General features: G+C 42.2%; 1 protein-coding gene across 11 annotated transcripts in view; it reads right to left on the reverse strand.

Annotated features, from left to right (window-relative positions):
- Positions 1-15,358, reverse strand: part of TGFBR3 (transforming growth factor beta receptor 3) — a 225,660-nt gene that overhangs the window by 172,331 nt on the left and 37,971 nt on the right. For 7 of the 11 annotated variants that reach the window (NR_036634.2, NM_001195684.1, XM_047429247.1 and 4 more), the window contains one exon: positions 8,798-8,971. Coding sequence is in view for 10 of the 11 variants with exons in the window: in NM_001195684.1 (NP_001182613.1) it covers positions 8,798-8,858 (61 nt within the window). In the remaining variant the exon portion in view is untranslated. Of the gene's footprint in view, positions 1-8,797; positions 8,972-10,174; positions 10,546-14,082; positions 14,477-15,358 lie in introns of those variants that run through there. The other 4 variants (XM_047429271.1, XM_047429255.1, XM_047429261.1 and 1 more) reach the window with 4 other exon arrangements.

Genomic DNA, 15,358 nt, shown 5'->3' on the forward strand with positions numbered 1-15,358 from the left:
CTCCTGCCTCAGCCTCTCGAGTAGCTGGGATTACAGGCAGCCACCACCATGCCACTCTAGGTCTTTTAATAGCAGTTATTTGCTCTTTAAAATAAAGTTTGGCACTCTGGTGATAACTGGTATCACATTTGACAATATCCTTTCCTTGTGTATCAAAAAGCAGAATTAAACACAAAACTGGTTAAAATAACCAGCTAAAGGCCAGGCATGATGGCTCACACCTATAATCCTAGCACTTTGGGAGGCCGATATGGGTGGACCACTTGAGCTCAAGAGTTCCAAACCAGCCTGGGCAACATGGCGGAACCCCATCTCTACAGAAAAAAAACACAAAAATTAGCCAGGCATAGCGGCGTGCACCCGTAGTCCCAGCTACTTGGGGGTCTGTGGGGGGAAAATGGCTTGAACCTGGGAGGTCGAGGCTGCAGTGAGCCATGATCGCGCCACTGCACTCCAGCCCAGGCAACAGAGTGAGACCCTGTCTCAAAAAAACAAATAAAATAAAAATAAGATAAAATAATCAGCTAAAAACAATAATAATCACAGACCAAATCAACTAGCTGTGTTCTAAGACCTGAGGGTTGGCAAAAAAAAAAAAAAAAAAAAAAAGAAGAAGAAGAAAAAAAGGGGAGGGGGCTTTTTTTCAGTTTGCTTTGAACCTTTGAGCCTATCCATCTTCTATCCTTACATTCCCTGGTGGTAGTCCCCTGCCAGCACCCTCCAGCCTTCCTGCCCTTATGAGTATTACAGCCTTTGATCACTCGTTTGGCAGACAGGAGATAACTATGGCAGAACCACCTCTGAGGTTCACAGGCCGTTAACTCACATCCAAGATTTCTCTTTCAAGTACAGGATAAATGAATAAATTGAATAATGAAAATGTGGTATATATACACAGTGGAATACTATACAGCCTTAAAAAAGAAGGAAATCCTGTCATTTGCAACAACACAGATGAACATGGAGGACATTATGCTCAGAGAAATAAGCCAGGCACAGAGCGACAAATATCATATATGATCAAACTTATATGCGGAATCTTAAAAAGCCAAACTCATGGCCGGGAGCGGTGGCTCAGGCCTGTAATCCCAGAACTTTTGGAGGCCAAGGCGGGCAGATCACAAGGTCAGGAGTTCGAGACCAGCGTGGCCAATATGGTGAAACCCCATCTCTACTAAAAATAACAAAAATTGGCCAGGTGTGGCGGCGCATGCCTGTAGTCCCAGTCAGGAGGCCAAGGCAGGAGAATCACTCGAACCCGGGAGGCGGAGGTTGCAGTGAGCTGAGATCATGCTACTGCACTCCAGCCTGGGTGACACAGTGAGACTCCATCCCACCCCCTCCCAGAAAAAAAGTCAAACTCATAGAAACAGTAAAATGGTGGTTACCAGAGGCTGGGGAGTGGGGGTGGAAGGACTGAGGAGATGTTGGTCAAATATACAAAATTTCAATTAGACAGGAGGAATAAGTTCAAGAGATTGACTGTACACCATGGTGACTATAGTTAATAACAAGGTATTATAGTAGCCACTGCCACCACTGAGCCTAAGATGGCCATGACCCCTGTAGAGGTGACCCCCACTCACCTACCCCTCTAGGACTCATGCCTTCCTCAAAAATGCCTGGGCCATGGAGCTGGTGCCAGTCATGTCCTTCACCATGGGGGCCAATACTCAGCCCCTACCAAGTACAACATCATGACCAACCAGGTGACGCCCTGAAACTATCTAGTGCCCTTCCAAGGTGGTAGGAACATGCTGACATACAGAGCCACCTCCAGGACCCCCAGTGCCCAGCTTGGAGCTGCCAAAGAAACTGTGACCACCTCACTCGACAGTGAGGAGGCCCCCTTCCTACAGCCCCCTATAAAAATGTGAAAAAAAATAATATATTTTACACATGAAAATTGTTAAGAGAGTATATTTTAAGTGTTCTCACCACAAAAAATGATAAGTGTGTGAGGTTATGCATATGTTAAAAAGCTTGATTTACTCACCACAATGTAGACATGTATAAAAACATCATGATGTACACCATAAATATATACAATTTTTATTTGTCAAGAGGTGCTAAGGGTGCACTATACCAAAAAGGTCACAGGATTTGTTGGTGCAGTTTGTCTGCAAAAGCATGTCTAAGTTCTGGTCCAACCAAGACTTGAATTATCTTTCTAAATCACTTACTTTCTCTAAGCCCTATTATTCTCATTCTAGAAATGAAGAAAATAGTGCCTGCCTACCCCCAGAGGCTGCTGTGAGGATCAAATGAAATACCTGTTATAAAAACATTTTTAAGATTACAAATACAATATGGTATTATTAGCCTCTACTCAAGGCTGCCAGCTTGTACCATTCCAGACCAAGTATTAACCAGCTGGTATCTCAGCTTGCTCTCCCACAGACACAAAGAGTTCAGAGCTTTCTGAGCAGGAAAATAGCTCAGACTAAAAGCATCTCGATTTTCCTGTGGACTCTACCTGGAATTCCAGGTACATCCAGTAGAGAGGAAAAGAAATGTGTTTCTCAATAGAAATCTGTGCACAGTTTGCAGGCGAGTTTCCAAAAGGATACATCTGGGTACTGAATTGAGACAGTGGAATGAAGAAGTTAGCCATTCCACCAAGAGCCCACTGGCATCAATGCCAGCAGCCCTGCTCCAGAGCTCACCTCAGCGGCACCCCTCTCACCTGGCACAAGGGGCCAGTGATAACTCCAGCCCTTCCAATAAAACTGATTTCCCTGAATTCTCCATGCATGCCTCTTTTTCTTATTACTAAAACTCCTGGAAACATAGCCCTGCCTAATGTTGGCAAGCCTCAGAGGCAGCAGCTAATATCTTTTAAAGATGTGTAGAACAGTTGGGAGGTTGTTTTGTTTTTGTTTTTGTTTTTGCCTTTTCAAGTTTTTATTTTTATCCATTTTTTGTATTAAAAAGAAAAGCACAATTATCACAAATTACAAAGGAGGAAAGCAGAACTAGAATAATAAATGAATCACTTCAGCCTGGAAAGCAGATATTTTCAATAATAGTAATGTTATAACACAAGTATAGACGAGTTTTTAAAGCAAAACTTAGACTTAAGCCCATAGTATCAAGCACTTATTTTTTAAACTTCCCACTTTTCTTACATTAGGTAGCTTACAGGATCTAAGAGGCCAATAAATAACCTTAGATAATTTCTTTTTTTTTCTTTTTTGTTTTTAACCCCAATAAATCTCTTGTATTTATTCTCTCTCTTTTTTTTTTAACCCAAGTAAATCACCTAAGCTAATTTCTAATCAAGAGGCATTATGGTCCTTACACAGCTCGTGTTCACCAAGAGCACAGTCCACCCTCCATCCTCAACAGTGCTATATGATAACGAAGGAACGAGGGAGGGGAGGGAAAGCATGAGTTTTTTGTTTTTTGAGACGGAGTTTGGCTCTGTCGCCCAGGCTGGAGTGCAGTGGCGCGATCTCAGCTCACTGCAAGCTCCGCCTCCCGGGTTCACACCATTCTTCTGCCTCAGCCTCCCCAGTAGCTGGGACTACAGGCGTCCGCCACCGCGCGTGGCTAATTTTGTTTTTGTACTTTTAGTAGAGACGGGGTTTCACCGTGTTAGCCAGGATGGTCTCAATCTCCTGACCTCGTAATCTGCCCGCCTCGGCCTCCCAAAGTGCTGGGATTACAGGCGTGAGCCACCACGCCCAGCCGAAAGCATGAGTTTTGTCAGAACAACACTAACACTGGGACATGGATATCCCCCGACCCACCCGGCCCCGACTGCCTTCATTCACTCTCTATCACAAGCAGAGAAGGAAAGAAAGGTTTTCACTGAAGGCCCAGACAAACCTATGGAGCTGGAACAAGCAGGCTCCTATTATTCTAACTTGGGCTCAATTTACGTGCTCCCTTGTGCTCTGCCCCTCCTCTGGCCACATAACCAAAAGGAGGCCTTTGACAACCTTCACCCCTCTGCTGCCAGACCTCCACACCTTCCCACCGATTTACAGCTTTAAGGCCACTTTGGTTAAGTCAGAATATGAATAAAGAAGGCCCACTACTTGAGGGTCCTTCTGCTCTGATGACCTGTGTCTGTCTCTTCTGAGGCCAAAGGGGCTTAATCTGGTTCCAGGATGTCACACTGGTAGCTACTCACCTGGTATTTAATCAATCAAGAAGAGGTTTATTCATCCCACACACAGGGTCTCCTCCCTAGAGAAGGATCTAGTGGTTGATGGGCTGGATTCTAGAGCCAAACTGCCAGGTTCAAGTCTCAACTCTGCCACTTATTAGTTCCAGGACTTTGTACAAATTATTAACCAAACTGAGTCTCAATTTCCTTGTTTGTAAAATGGAGGTGATGATAATAATAATACCCATCTCATAGAGTTGTCTTAAATAAATTAGCTGGCAGAGATCAAGCCCTTGATAAATGACAGCCTGTGAGCCAAGCACTGCTGGGTCTGAAGCTAATGAGGCCACATACTCAGCCTCACTGTTTGAGGCCACCGTTTGAATTCCAAGATTAAACAGTGCATGCCTTTGGCTCCAAGGGATGGAAGAAGAGAGCATCCAAACCACAGAATAAAATCCACAAGCCTCATTATGATATTTAAGAACTTTCATAATCTACTCCATCCTTCTTTCCAAATAGACCTCCTGCTACATTTCCACACCAGCTCTCCAGGTCATCCATTTATTTAAAAAAAAAAAAAAATTAAGCACCTAAATGCCACATTCCGTGCTAGGCCAGGTTTTCCCACCTGGTGAACTCAGTGCCTCCTTCTTCCTAGATTCTGCCCAGTCTTCAAGACAGAGTTCAAGATCTAGAGCTTCCACATAGCTGTCCCTGGCTACTCTGACCCACAGGGCTTCCCCTCGTGACCCCTCTGAGGTCTTTGGGTTTTACTTGGCTTTCACTACACATTCATTATTTGGTTATATGGTTATATTTTATAAGCCTAAATAAAGTACAAGCAACTCAAAAGAAGGGATGAATATGGCTGGGCACAGTGGCTCACGCCTTTAATCCCAGTGCTTTGAGAGGCTGAGGTGGGAGGATCACTTGAGGTCAAGAGTTCAAGGTCAACCTGGACAACACAGCAAGATCCCATCTCTCCAAAAATAAAAAAAATAGGGTGGGAACGAATCTTACATTTCTTTGCATGTATATCCCTAAGTGACTACTACTGTGCTTTGTACTCAGCAGGGATCAGTGAATAAATGATTTAATGTTTCAGGAGGACATAAATGGCTCAAAACCTATTACCATTCTTTCCAAACAAATGATTTCCTTCAAATCAATATAGTAGAGAGGCCTAAAGGCTCAATCTCCAGACCTGGACTAAGTAGGTTTATAGTTCCACCTGCCATTTATTAGCTGTGTGACCTTAAGAAAGTTATTTGACCTCTCTGTGCTTCCATTTCCTCACTTATAAACTATGGATTATTAAAGTATCTATATTTCTTAGAGTATTTATGAGGATGAAATGAGATAATACATGTAAAGAAATTTGGGGCCTGACACACAGTAATTATTTGAAATATTCATCATTGTTATAACTACCCAGATGAGCTAAATTCAGCTCATCCAGAATGCCCAAAAAACCATTTTGTAAAGTATGCTGGGCCTACAGAGAAAAATATCAGATATTAGCATATAAAAAATTTTTTTTGCAGCCAGGCACAGTGGCTCACACCTGTAATCCCAGCACTTTGGGAGGCCGAGGCAGGCGGATTGCCTGAGCTCAGGAGTTCACGACCAGCCTGGGCAACACGATGAAACCCCATCTCTACTAAAATACAAAAAATTAGCTGGGCGTGGCAGCGTGTGCCTGTACTCCCATCTACTCGGGAGGTTGAGGCAGGAGAATTGCTTGAACCCAGGAGATGGAGGTTACAATGAGCCAAGATTGTGCCACTGCACTGTAGCCGGGGCGAGTGAGACTCTGTCTCAAAAAAAAAAAAAAAAAAAAAAACAAAATTTCCCTCTTCTTCATTCATTTGATCTATTATGTTGTGCAAAAGGGAAACAACCAACAAACTTCTACACCAAAAAGGCATCCATACCTCTGTGCTATTTATCAGTTGCCTCATGCTATTATAAAATCTGTAATTCATCCAGCGGTGGTGGCTCACACCTGTAATCCCAGCGTTTTCAGAGGCTGAAGGGGGTGGATCACTTGAGGTCAGGAGTTCGAGACCAGCCTGGCCAACATGACAAAACCCCATCTCTACCAAAAATACAAAAATTAGCTGGATATGGTGGTGCATGCCTGTAATCCCAGCTACTCAGGAGGCTGAGGCAGGAGAATCGCTTGAACCAGGAGGCAGAGGTTGCAGTGAGCCGAGATGGCACCACTGCACTCCAGCCTGGGTGACACACAGAGCGAGACTCTGTATCAAAAAAAAAAAAAAAATCTGTAACTCTACTGTCCCTTCCACCTCAGCAAAGCCTTGAGTGTGTATTCAACTCAAATATATATATACTTGTGTGTATATTTTCCCAAAGGCTTCAAATAGGAAAGGAAGATCTGAAGCAAAACTGATTCACTATCAAATTCATCAAGGCTGGACAGGGCCATTGAACTCACTCCTTTCCCATAAAGTGCCTTCTTCAGTTGTGTTTTTCAGTCTGACCCAGGCATCAATGAAGGCAGAAAGCCCAGCCTCAAACCCACAAGGTGAGACTAGACATCTTGTCATCAAAACAGCATGTTTTCCATCAAGCCGCTTCTCTCCCTCTTTCTCTCTCTCTTTTTTTTTGGGAGGTGGGGGTGGGGGGGTGCATTTCTACTACTTTTCGATGAGATTTTAAGTCAATTCCATTTTAATACACAGGCTAAAAGGCAAATAGCACTTCAATAATGAGACAAAATGAAACTGCTGATAGACAAAAATAGAGAATGGGCAGTTGAAATTCATAAACTGGCATTCAAAAAACAACAACAACAAAAAAGGCCTAGCAACTTTCTTTCAAGATATTTATAGCCAGGGGAAGTGGCTCACGCCTGTAATCCCAGCACTTTGGGAGGCTGAGGCCAGGAGATCGAGACCAGCCTGGCTAACATGGTGAAACCTTGTCTCTACTAAAAATACAAAAAATTAGCCAGGCATGGTGGCACACGCCTGTAGTCCCAGCTACTCGGAAGGCTGAGGCAGGAGAATCGCTTGAACCCAGGAGACAGAGGTTGCAGTGAGCCGAGATCACACCAGTGCACTCCAGCCTGGGCAACAGAGGGAGACTCCATCTCAAAAAAAAAAAAAAAAAAAGATACTTGCAATGAGAGGAACATTCTACTTTCCAATCCATAAACCAGTTTCTGCCAGCTGACTCTCGCTTAGTCTACGTCTGCACACAACCCCAGATCTGAGTCTATTGGAGTCTTAAGGGAGATCTGGTTTCTTCAGTATAACACAGAGGTGAAGAGCATAGATGTAAAATCTGAATGTAAAATCTGGCTCTTCCACTTTCCAGCTACATGACACTACGCAAGTTACCTAATCTCTCCATATCTCATTTCATCATTTATAAAATGCCAAATTAATTCTACCTCCAAGTTGTGATTAAGTGAGCTCATTAAATAAGAATATCCTTATTCATTTTTATATTCTTTAATTGTTTAGCCCAGTGCCTGGATATAGTGCCCACTCAATAGATGATCATTACTATCACTCTCATCTGTATGTGCAATTCAACAGCCAAAACCAAGCAGCTAATCACTTTTCGAGTCAATGCTTTTCTTGCTGAGACCTGCCAGTTTCCAGAACTGGTCCAACAAATTAGTTTTATGTAGCTCATTACAGAATAGACACAATGGAAATTATAATAAAATAGAGCAAATTAAGCTTCCAAATTTACTAAGTAACCCCTCACAGTAAACACACTAAGATGGTGGTGTGGGAGATCCGATACTCTTAGTTAAGCAACAATGTTCCAAGTCATTTGCATCTTTTCATCTCCAATCTCATTTGGCCTCCAGGAAGCTCAGTGTATTTCTCTACTTTTTAAAAAGTTAGTAATCCCAGCACTTTGGGAGACCAAGGTAGGCGGATCACCTGAGGTCAGGAGTTCAAGACCAGCATGGCCAAAATGGTGAAACCCTGTCTCTATTAAAAATACAAATATTATCCACGTGTAGTGGCAGGCATCTGCAGTCCCAGCTACTTGGGAGGCTGAGGCACGAGAATTGCTTGAACCCAAGAGGAGGAGGTTGCAGTGAGCCGAGATCAGGCCATTGCACTCCAGCCTGGGTGACAGAGCAAGACTCTGTCTCCACAAAAAAAAAAAAAAAAAAAAAAAAAAAAGGTTACATATTGAAATATGTGAAATAGGCAAAACTAAATACCTCCCAAGCAGCCTATGTCAAGAGTGTCACCTCAATCTAGAAGATCTATTTATTTGCTAATAAAGGACAAAAATGCTTTCTTGAAATCCTTATTCAGGGACAAAAATGTAAATACAGGTCAGGCACAGTGGCACATACCTGTAATACCAGCATGCTAGGAGGCCAAGAAGAGAGGATCACTTGAGGTCAGGAGTTTGAAACCAGCCTGAGCAACATAGGAAACCCTATCTCTACAAAAAATAAAACATTAGCTGGGCATGGTGGCACACGCCTGTAGTCCCAACTAGTTAGGAGGCTGAGGTGGGAGGATCGCTTAAGCCCAGGAGGTAGAGCCTACAGTAAGCCATGATTATGCCTCTGCACTCCAGCCTGGGTAACAGAGTGAAACTTCATCTCAACTAAAGAGACTGGGACAAAATATATCCAAAAATATATAACAAATATGCAATTTATATTATGCAACTTACCTGCAGTGGCTAAACAGGAGCTCATCAGGGCAAAGATGGCAATCACATAATGGGAAGTCATTTTTATTTCTCCAACAGTGCGTCTCGTCCAGTCACTTCAGCCTGCTCAGAGCACAGACAATCTTTGCAAATCAGAAGTAGTCTTAAAGTCCCTCCTTGCAATTTTCAAACTGCCTGTAAAACAAATTTCAATAAGAAAACTTAATGAAGAAACTTCATAAACAAACAGACACTAAAATTAAACAGAGAATTTCTGAAAAGCGTAATGTAAGAAATTTATCTTAAAAGATGCAAAATAGCACTCAAGCAAACTAGACTGAGGGCAGTGACTATCTAATAAAGATTTTTATAGCAAATACTTTTGCAAATGACATATTTGTTATTGGCTTTTTTTTTTTTTTTTTGAGATAGAGTCTCTCTCTGTCGCCAAGCTGGAGCACAGTGGCGCAGTCTTGGCTCACTGCAACCTCCGCCTCCTGGGTTCAAGCGATTCTCCTGCCTCAGCCTCCCAAGTAGCTGGGATTACAGACATGCGCCACTACGCCTGGCTAATTTTTGTATTTTTAGTAGAGATGGGGTTTCACCATGTTGGCCAGGCTGGTCTTGAACTCCTGACCTCGTGATCTGCCCACCTCAGCCTCCCAAAGTGCTGGGATTACAGGCGTGAGCCACCACGCCCGGCCCTGTTTTTGACATTTTAAATCTTTGGTTTTATAGAGAATTTTCAGAACTACAGAAGAAAATCAAGGTGCACCTGAAATATAACACCACCAGTTAAGTTGTGGTACCAAAGTAATCAATGACACTTGATACATGCAACCCTAGTGCCAGCAAGAAAACAAAACCAGCACTGATTAGAGACTCAATCTAATGTTATAATAACAGGGTTATCACAAGGATCAAATTAAGTTGTGCTAGGAATCAATCTGAAAAAAATAAAGAAACATAAAAAGGCAAGGTTCTTATTTCAACTGTTTGCCAACATTTTAACAGGAAAAAAGTCTTCCCTGTCTCTCAGCCCATCTGAGACTATCTGGTTACTGGACTCAAGGATCTAGAAGGTTCTTTCTAAGCTTTTCCTATCCAGAGTCTTCAATGAGAGTTTTGTGGTGGTTTGCCTAACTTGAATATTCCTCACACGGCCCTAATGGTCACTGATTTAGACACTCCAAAGTATATTTCTCCAGCCCTCTATCCCTGAGCCTGGCACAACTCACAGAAGTTCAATTAACAAACATGTACTGAGCATTTACTATGCTCCAGGCATGGTTCCTTCTCATCAAGAATAAAAGTTATGGGTAAAAGTGCAAAGACCCTCCCTGATCTAAGCCCTGGAAAAGGCAGAATGGTGGCATTTCCGGGAGCCATCTCACACACCTGGGGGTTGTGGCCTTGTCATCCTCACTCAGGAAATATCACGCAACAGGAGTTGCCCATAGCTACCTTCAGAGACAAAGCCAATGTGGGCGCTTGTAGATAACAGTACAAAAAAAATTATTTTAAATGAGTTTTTAATTAAATGGTCTTAATTTATTGCATCAAGTGACAAAGAGAGATATTTAAAATGGCTCTTTGCAATTGTAACTTTACCTATGAGAACGGGGGAAATAGGGTGACTGCAGGACAGGGGTGGGAGGGAGCAGAAGCTTTTCACTGAATTCCCTTCTGGGTTTTGTATTAATACCATGTGCAAGTATTACCTATCCAGAAATAATAACAGTAAAGTTCCAATTTCAAAAAGAATTTCTTAGATATGTCTTGAAACTAAATTATTATATAGGCAGGAGGCCACTATGGTTCAATCTTGATATACGATAGTGATTAAAATCCTAGTATGAATAGCATACGGATTATGATAAAGATTAAAAATCTGCCTGGGTGTGAATCCACTCTGCCCCTTACCAAATGGTAATGTTAGGCAGCTTACTCTTCTTGAATGAACATATCCTGTGGTAGGAAATGTATGGTAGGCTGTTGTGAGGATTCAGTTAGTTAATATACATACACAATGCTTAGAACAGTCCCTAGCACGTAACAACCAACCAAATAAATGTTAGCTACAATTACTGTACTGTATCACTACTTGTCCATTCTCTTTGAGCTATTTATACCAATAAAGTGGAGAAATTAAGATATAGCTATTTATGTAATTCTTAGCTACTGTAAATCCAGTTCAATCTTTTGTTTACTGAAAAATAAACATTACAACAGTCAAAAGGAGATAAGCTAAAGAGTGGACTCACTAAAAGAACAAAATTACCAGTCAAGTTGAGGCATAAGTCATCAATGACACAACGGTCTTGTCTCAAAAGCTGACTAAATTATAGAGATAATTTGGGAGCCATTAAACTGACTTATTATCCCTCTAAGTCGAACATTTCTGTCACCATAATTCCACATCAACTCTGATCATATGGAAATCTTCTCCGTTAACTTAAAAATTCAACCACCACAAAGAGGATCTGTCTCTATTTTTTTCCCTTCGAAATATTAGATTCCCTAAATTAGTGAATTGGTTCACAAGAACTATAGTGCCTCCTGCCTATATAATAATTTTGATAAGGAAAAACCTCTCTGAAACAATATGCTATTTCAGCAAATGTTAAAGACAACTTTTATAAAGCAAATCCCTGTAAGGAGATCTCAGAAGAAGATGACTTCCCAGAGGATTTTATGAAGCACATAAACTGTAAGCGGCACGAGGCTTGTGGGAATATTTAATGAGCTTGCGTCACCCTGCCCACAGCTGCAGTGGGTCTGAGGGTCTGTGCTGCGTTAATCCAGGGGCTTAAGCCAGGTCTGAACAAACCTGTGGAAAAGAAAGGCAAATGGTTCCATTAAAAATATAGGCTGCAAATTGCTGACAAGAATATTGGGCAATTATTAAAATGCAGCAATTACAGATATAATAGAGCCAAGCTAAACAGTTTGATGCCCAAAGGCAAACCACAGCAAGTTTACACCGGATCTTAAAACATCTCTGAGGAAGTCCTGGACAAGTTGAAACTACACACTGCTGTTTGTAACAAAAAGGGAGCTTTTCTTCTTTTAGCTTAAAAGTCTCTCCATAATGTAACTGTTCAAAAAGAAAATAAACTGCAGAAGGTTTTTGTCTAATCTCCCCAGTGTGGTGAAAGATTCCCAAGGCAGAGGAGAAGCAAAAGGGAAGTGTGTCATTCTCATTCAGCTGAACTCCAGTTTTGGCCACAACTTGTACACCTCAGTGCCTTAACACCCGACTTAGGAATCAGTTCCCTGGAATGCTGGATGGACTGAAGGCTTCCGAAAAGTTGTAGCTTTGATAAAACTAACGAAATACAAACTCCTCTTTCTTCTGTGAGGTTCTACCACACTGACTGCAAACATCAGGGACTCCCAATCCTGACTTTTTGACCTCAAAGAATCTCTGGACTTTATGAACTAAATGCTTTCTTTAGAAATATGGGTTCTGGCTGGGCACAGTGGCTCATGCCTGTAATCCCAGCACTTTGGGAGGCCGAGCTGGGCAGAACACCTGAGGTCAGGAGTTCAAGACCAGCCTGGCCAACCTGGCGAAACTCCAGCTCAACCAAAAATACAAAAGTTAGCCAGGCGTGGTGGTACGTGCCTGTAATCCCAGCTACTCGGGAGGCTGAGGCAGGAGAATCACTTGAACCCAGGAGAGGGAAATTGCAATGAGCCGAGATTATGCCACTGCACTCCAGCCTGGACAACAGAGTGAGACTCCATCTCAAAAAAAAAAAAAAAAAGAAAAAAAGAAAGAAAGAAATATAGGTTCTGTCTATGGAGTAGCCATTCCTTTATTCCTTTACTTTCTTAATAAACTTGCTTTCACTTAAAAAAAAAAAAAAAGTAGAAATACCTAATGTAAATGATGAGTTAATGGTTTCAGCAAACCAACATGGCACATGTATACCTAATGTATACCTATGTAACAAACCTGCACATTGTGCACATGTACCCTAGAACTTAAAGTATTTATTTAAAAAAAAAGTAGAAATATAAATAGGGTACTCTGAGATCATGAAAGAGCAATTTGGAATAATAGTCATTTTCCCCACATTTCAAAGCAACATGTTCCATTTAAAAGGTAGGTGAACTTTGATGAACTGAAGAACACTTAGTATTCATCAATGAACATAAGAAAATTCTGAGAACTTGGCCGGGCGCGGTGGCTCACGCCTGTAATCCCAGCACTTTGGGAGGCCGAGGCGGGTGGATCACGAGGTCAGGAGATCGAGACCATCTTGGCTAACATGGTGAAACCCCGTTTCTACTTAAAATACAAAAAATTAGCCGGGCGCGGTGGCAGGCACCTGTAGTCCCAGCTACTCGGGAGGCTGAGACAGAAGAATGGCGTGAACCCAGGAGGCGGAGCTTGCAGTGAGCTGAGATCGCGCCACTGCACTCCAGCCTGGGTGACAGAGCGAGACTACGTCTCCCAAAAAAAAAAAAAAAAAGAAAATTCTTAGAACTTAATGGGTTTAAAAAAAAAGCAAACAAATGTGCTGCTAATTCTGCTAATTTCAGAGATCCCCTGGGTTTATTTCTGAGTCCATTAAACTGAGCATACTGCCCCACATGCCCTCATGACCCAACAGAGTGCACAGGTAAAGACCAAGATTAGCTGAAAAAATCCCATCCAAATGAATCCTCAAAACCATCACGTTCTAAACCAATATTCAAAAGGATCTGGTTGGGTACAATATTCCCTAAGGTGAGGAGAGAAATCTTGCTCTATCTAAGAGAAAAACTGTGGCAAAATGGATGTCTGGCAATAGGCTAAAAACCAGTAAGAAAAAATTAGTAGCTTCCCCTTAGATGGCTAACATGGCCTGGCTACATCCATGAGTTGATTCAGAATCAGAACTAAACTAATCCCCATCTTCAGATAGATTTGGCACAATGAGAGAAAAAGTCCTAGATTTGGATAAGAAATCTTCGGAATCACATCCAAGCACAACTGATATTCAATAAATATTACTGCTATATGCCAGGCACTGTTCAAGATGCCAGGGATATAGCAATGAAAAAAAGACGCCAAAAATCCTGCCCTCAGGGAGCTTATATCCGAGTAAAAATATCATTTACTACTTCTCACAAGACATTTAATTTCCTGAGTTTCTCCTTTCAACAAATCTTTATTGCTTACTCTGCTAAGCAGTGGCCAAGGAGACATGTTTTTTGCCCTTGTGGGCTTAAAAGCTGGTGAGATAAACAGACAATAATCACAAACATGTAACTACACGATATAATCAGAGCTCTAAAGGAAAAGTATACGCAACCTGAGGATAAGCGAAGATTTTAAAAGTCAGGTGATGAATGACACTGCAGGCAGAGGAAGCATTACAGGAGGGAGGAGAGCTGCAGAGCTGAAAGGGAAAGAGAAGAGGAATAAGTTCAAGGAGGGGTTTAAACAGGGAATAGCGTGATCAGATGGGATTACTAAAGATTTCCCTCACGCTGTACAGAGAACAGACTGAAGGGAGGCCAGACTGCCTGGACAATCAGTTGAGATTCTCACAGCATGTCAGACAAGAAAGGATGGAGGTTTAGATCAGAATGGAGCCTCAGTTTCCTCCTTTGTAAAGAGTGTAACAGACAAAACTTAGCTACATCACAGAGTTGTTGCAAGAATCAAATGAGATTGTGCATGTATAGTATTAAAACTATCATTTATCATTAGCAAGCTGTTTCTACCAAAGAGATTTATTATCCTGAGGTATCAGATTAATTAGTCCCAACATTCTGTGGCTGCCAGTGGCAGGAAAAGAAAGGAGGAAGATTACTCTGGAACCACCTGTACTGGTAGGCACGGGGGAAGCAGTACGCACAGATGGTACGAGGAGAGCAGAGAAGCCTGACTCCACTCTGCCTGTTCTGTGCCGGCTGCCTTCAGAGGCAAGGTGGGCTGTCCCTCCAGAGCAGGCCCACCCTCATTCCTGGCTGGGAGCATGATCAACAAATCTGGCCCCAGCAGCCTTGGTTTCCTTGGGGCCGAACTTCAGTCCGTCCTTAAGAGCCCTTCCATCTATCCCAAGCACAACACACCTCACTCCCAAGGAAAATACAGGAAAAAGGGAGGGTGGGTGTTGACACATTTCACAAAGTTGGAAAAGACCATGTTTTATTCAAACTCACAAACTAGGATGGCTTTTTCACCCACCCTTGCAATACTCTAAGAACCACCTTTTCACATTTAAGATTTTTGCATCCAAAGGTTTCTGTACCTTTTCATTTATAAGGGTGTCTGCTTTTAAGCTAGAATTAATAAAGAACTGTATTTGGGGGTTCAAAACCTGGCTTACCCAGCTGTGTTACATTGGAAAAGTCATTTAGCCCCTACCACGCCCTCATCTGTAAAATGGTAGCAATATTTTGATTATAATATAAGACAGAATATAGGCATGGTACCTAAAACAATACCTGGCCCACACAGTCTATTTTATTTTATTCTTTCTTTTTTGAGATGGAGTCTCACTCTGCCACCCAGGCTGGAGTGCAGTGGCACGATGTCAGCTCACTGCAACCTCTGCCTTTGGGTTCAAGCAATTCTCTTGT

Source organism: Homo sapiens, chromosome 1, assembly GCF_000001405.40.
Source record: "Homo sapiens chromosome 1, GRCh38.p14 Primary Assembly".
Lineage (NCBI taxonomy): Eukaryota > Metazoa > Chordata > Mammalia > Primates > Hominidae > Homo > Homo sapiens.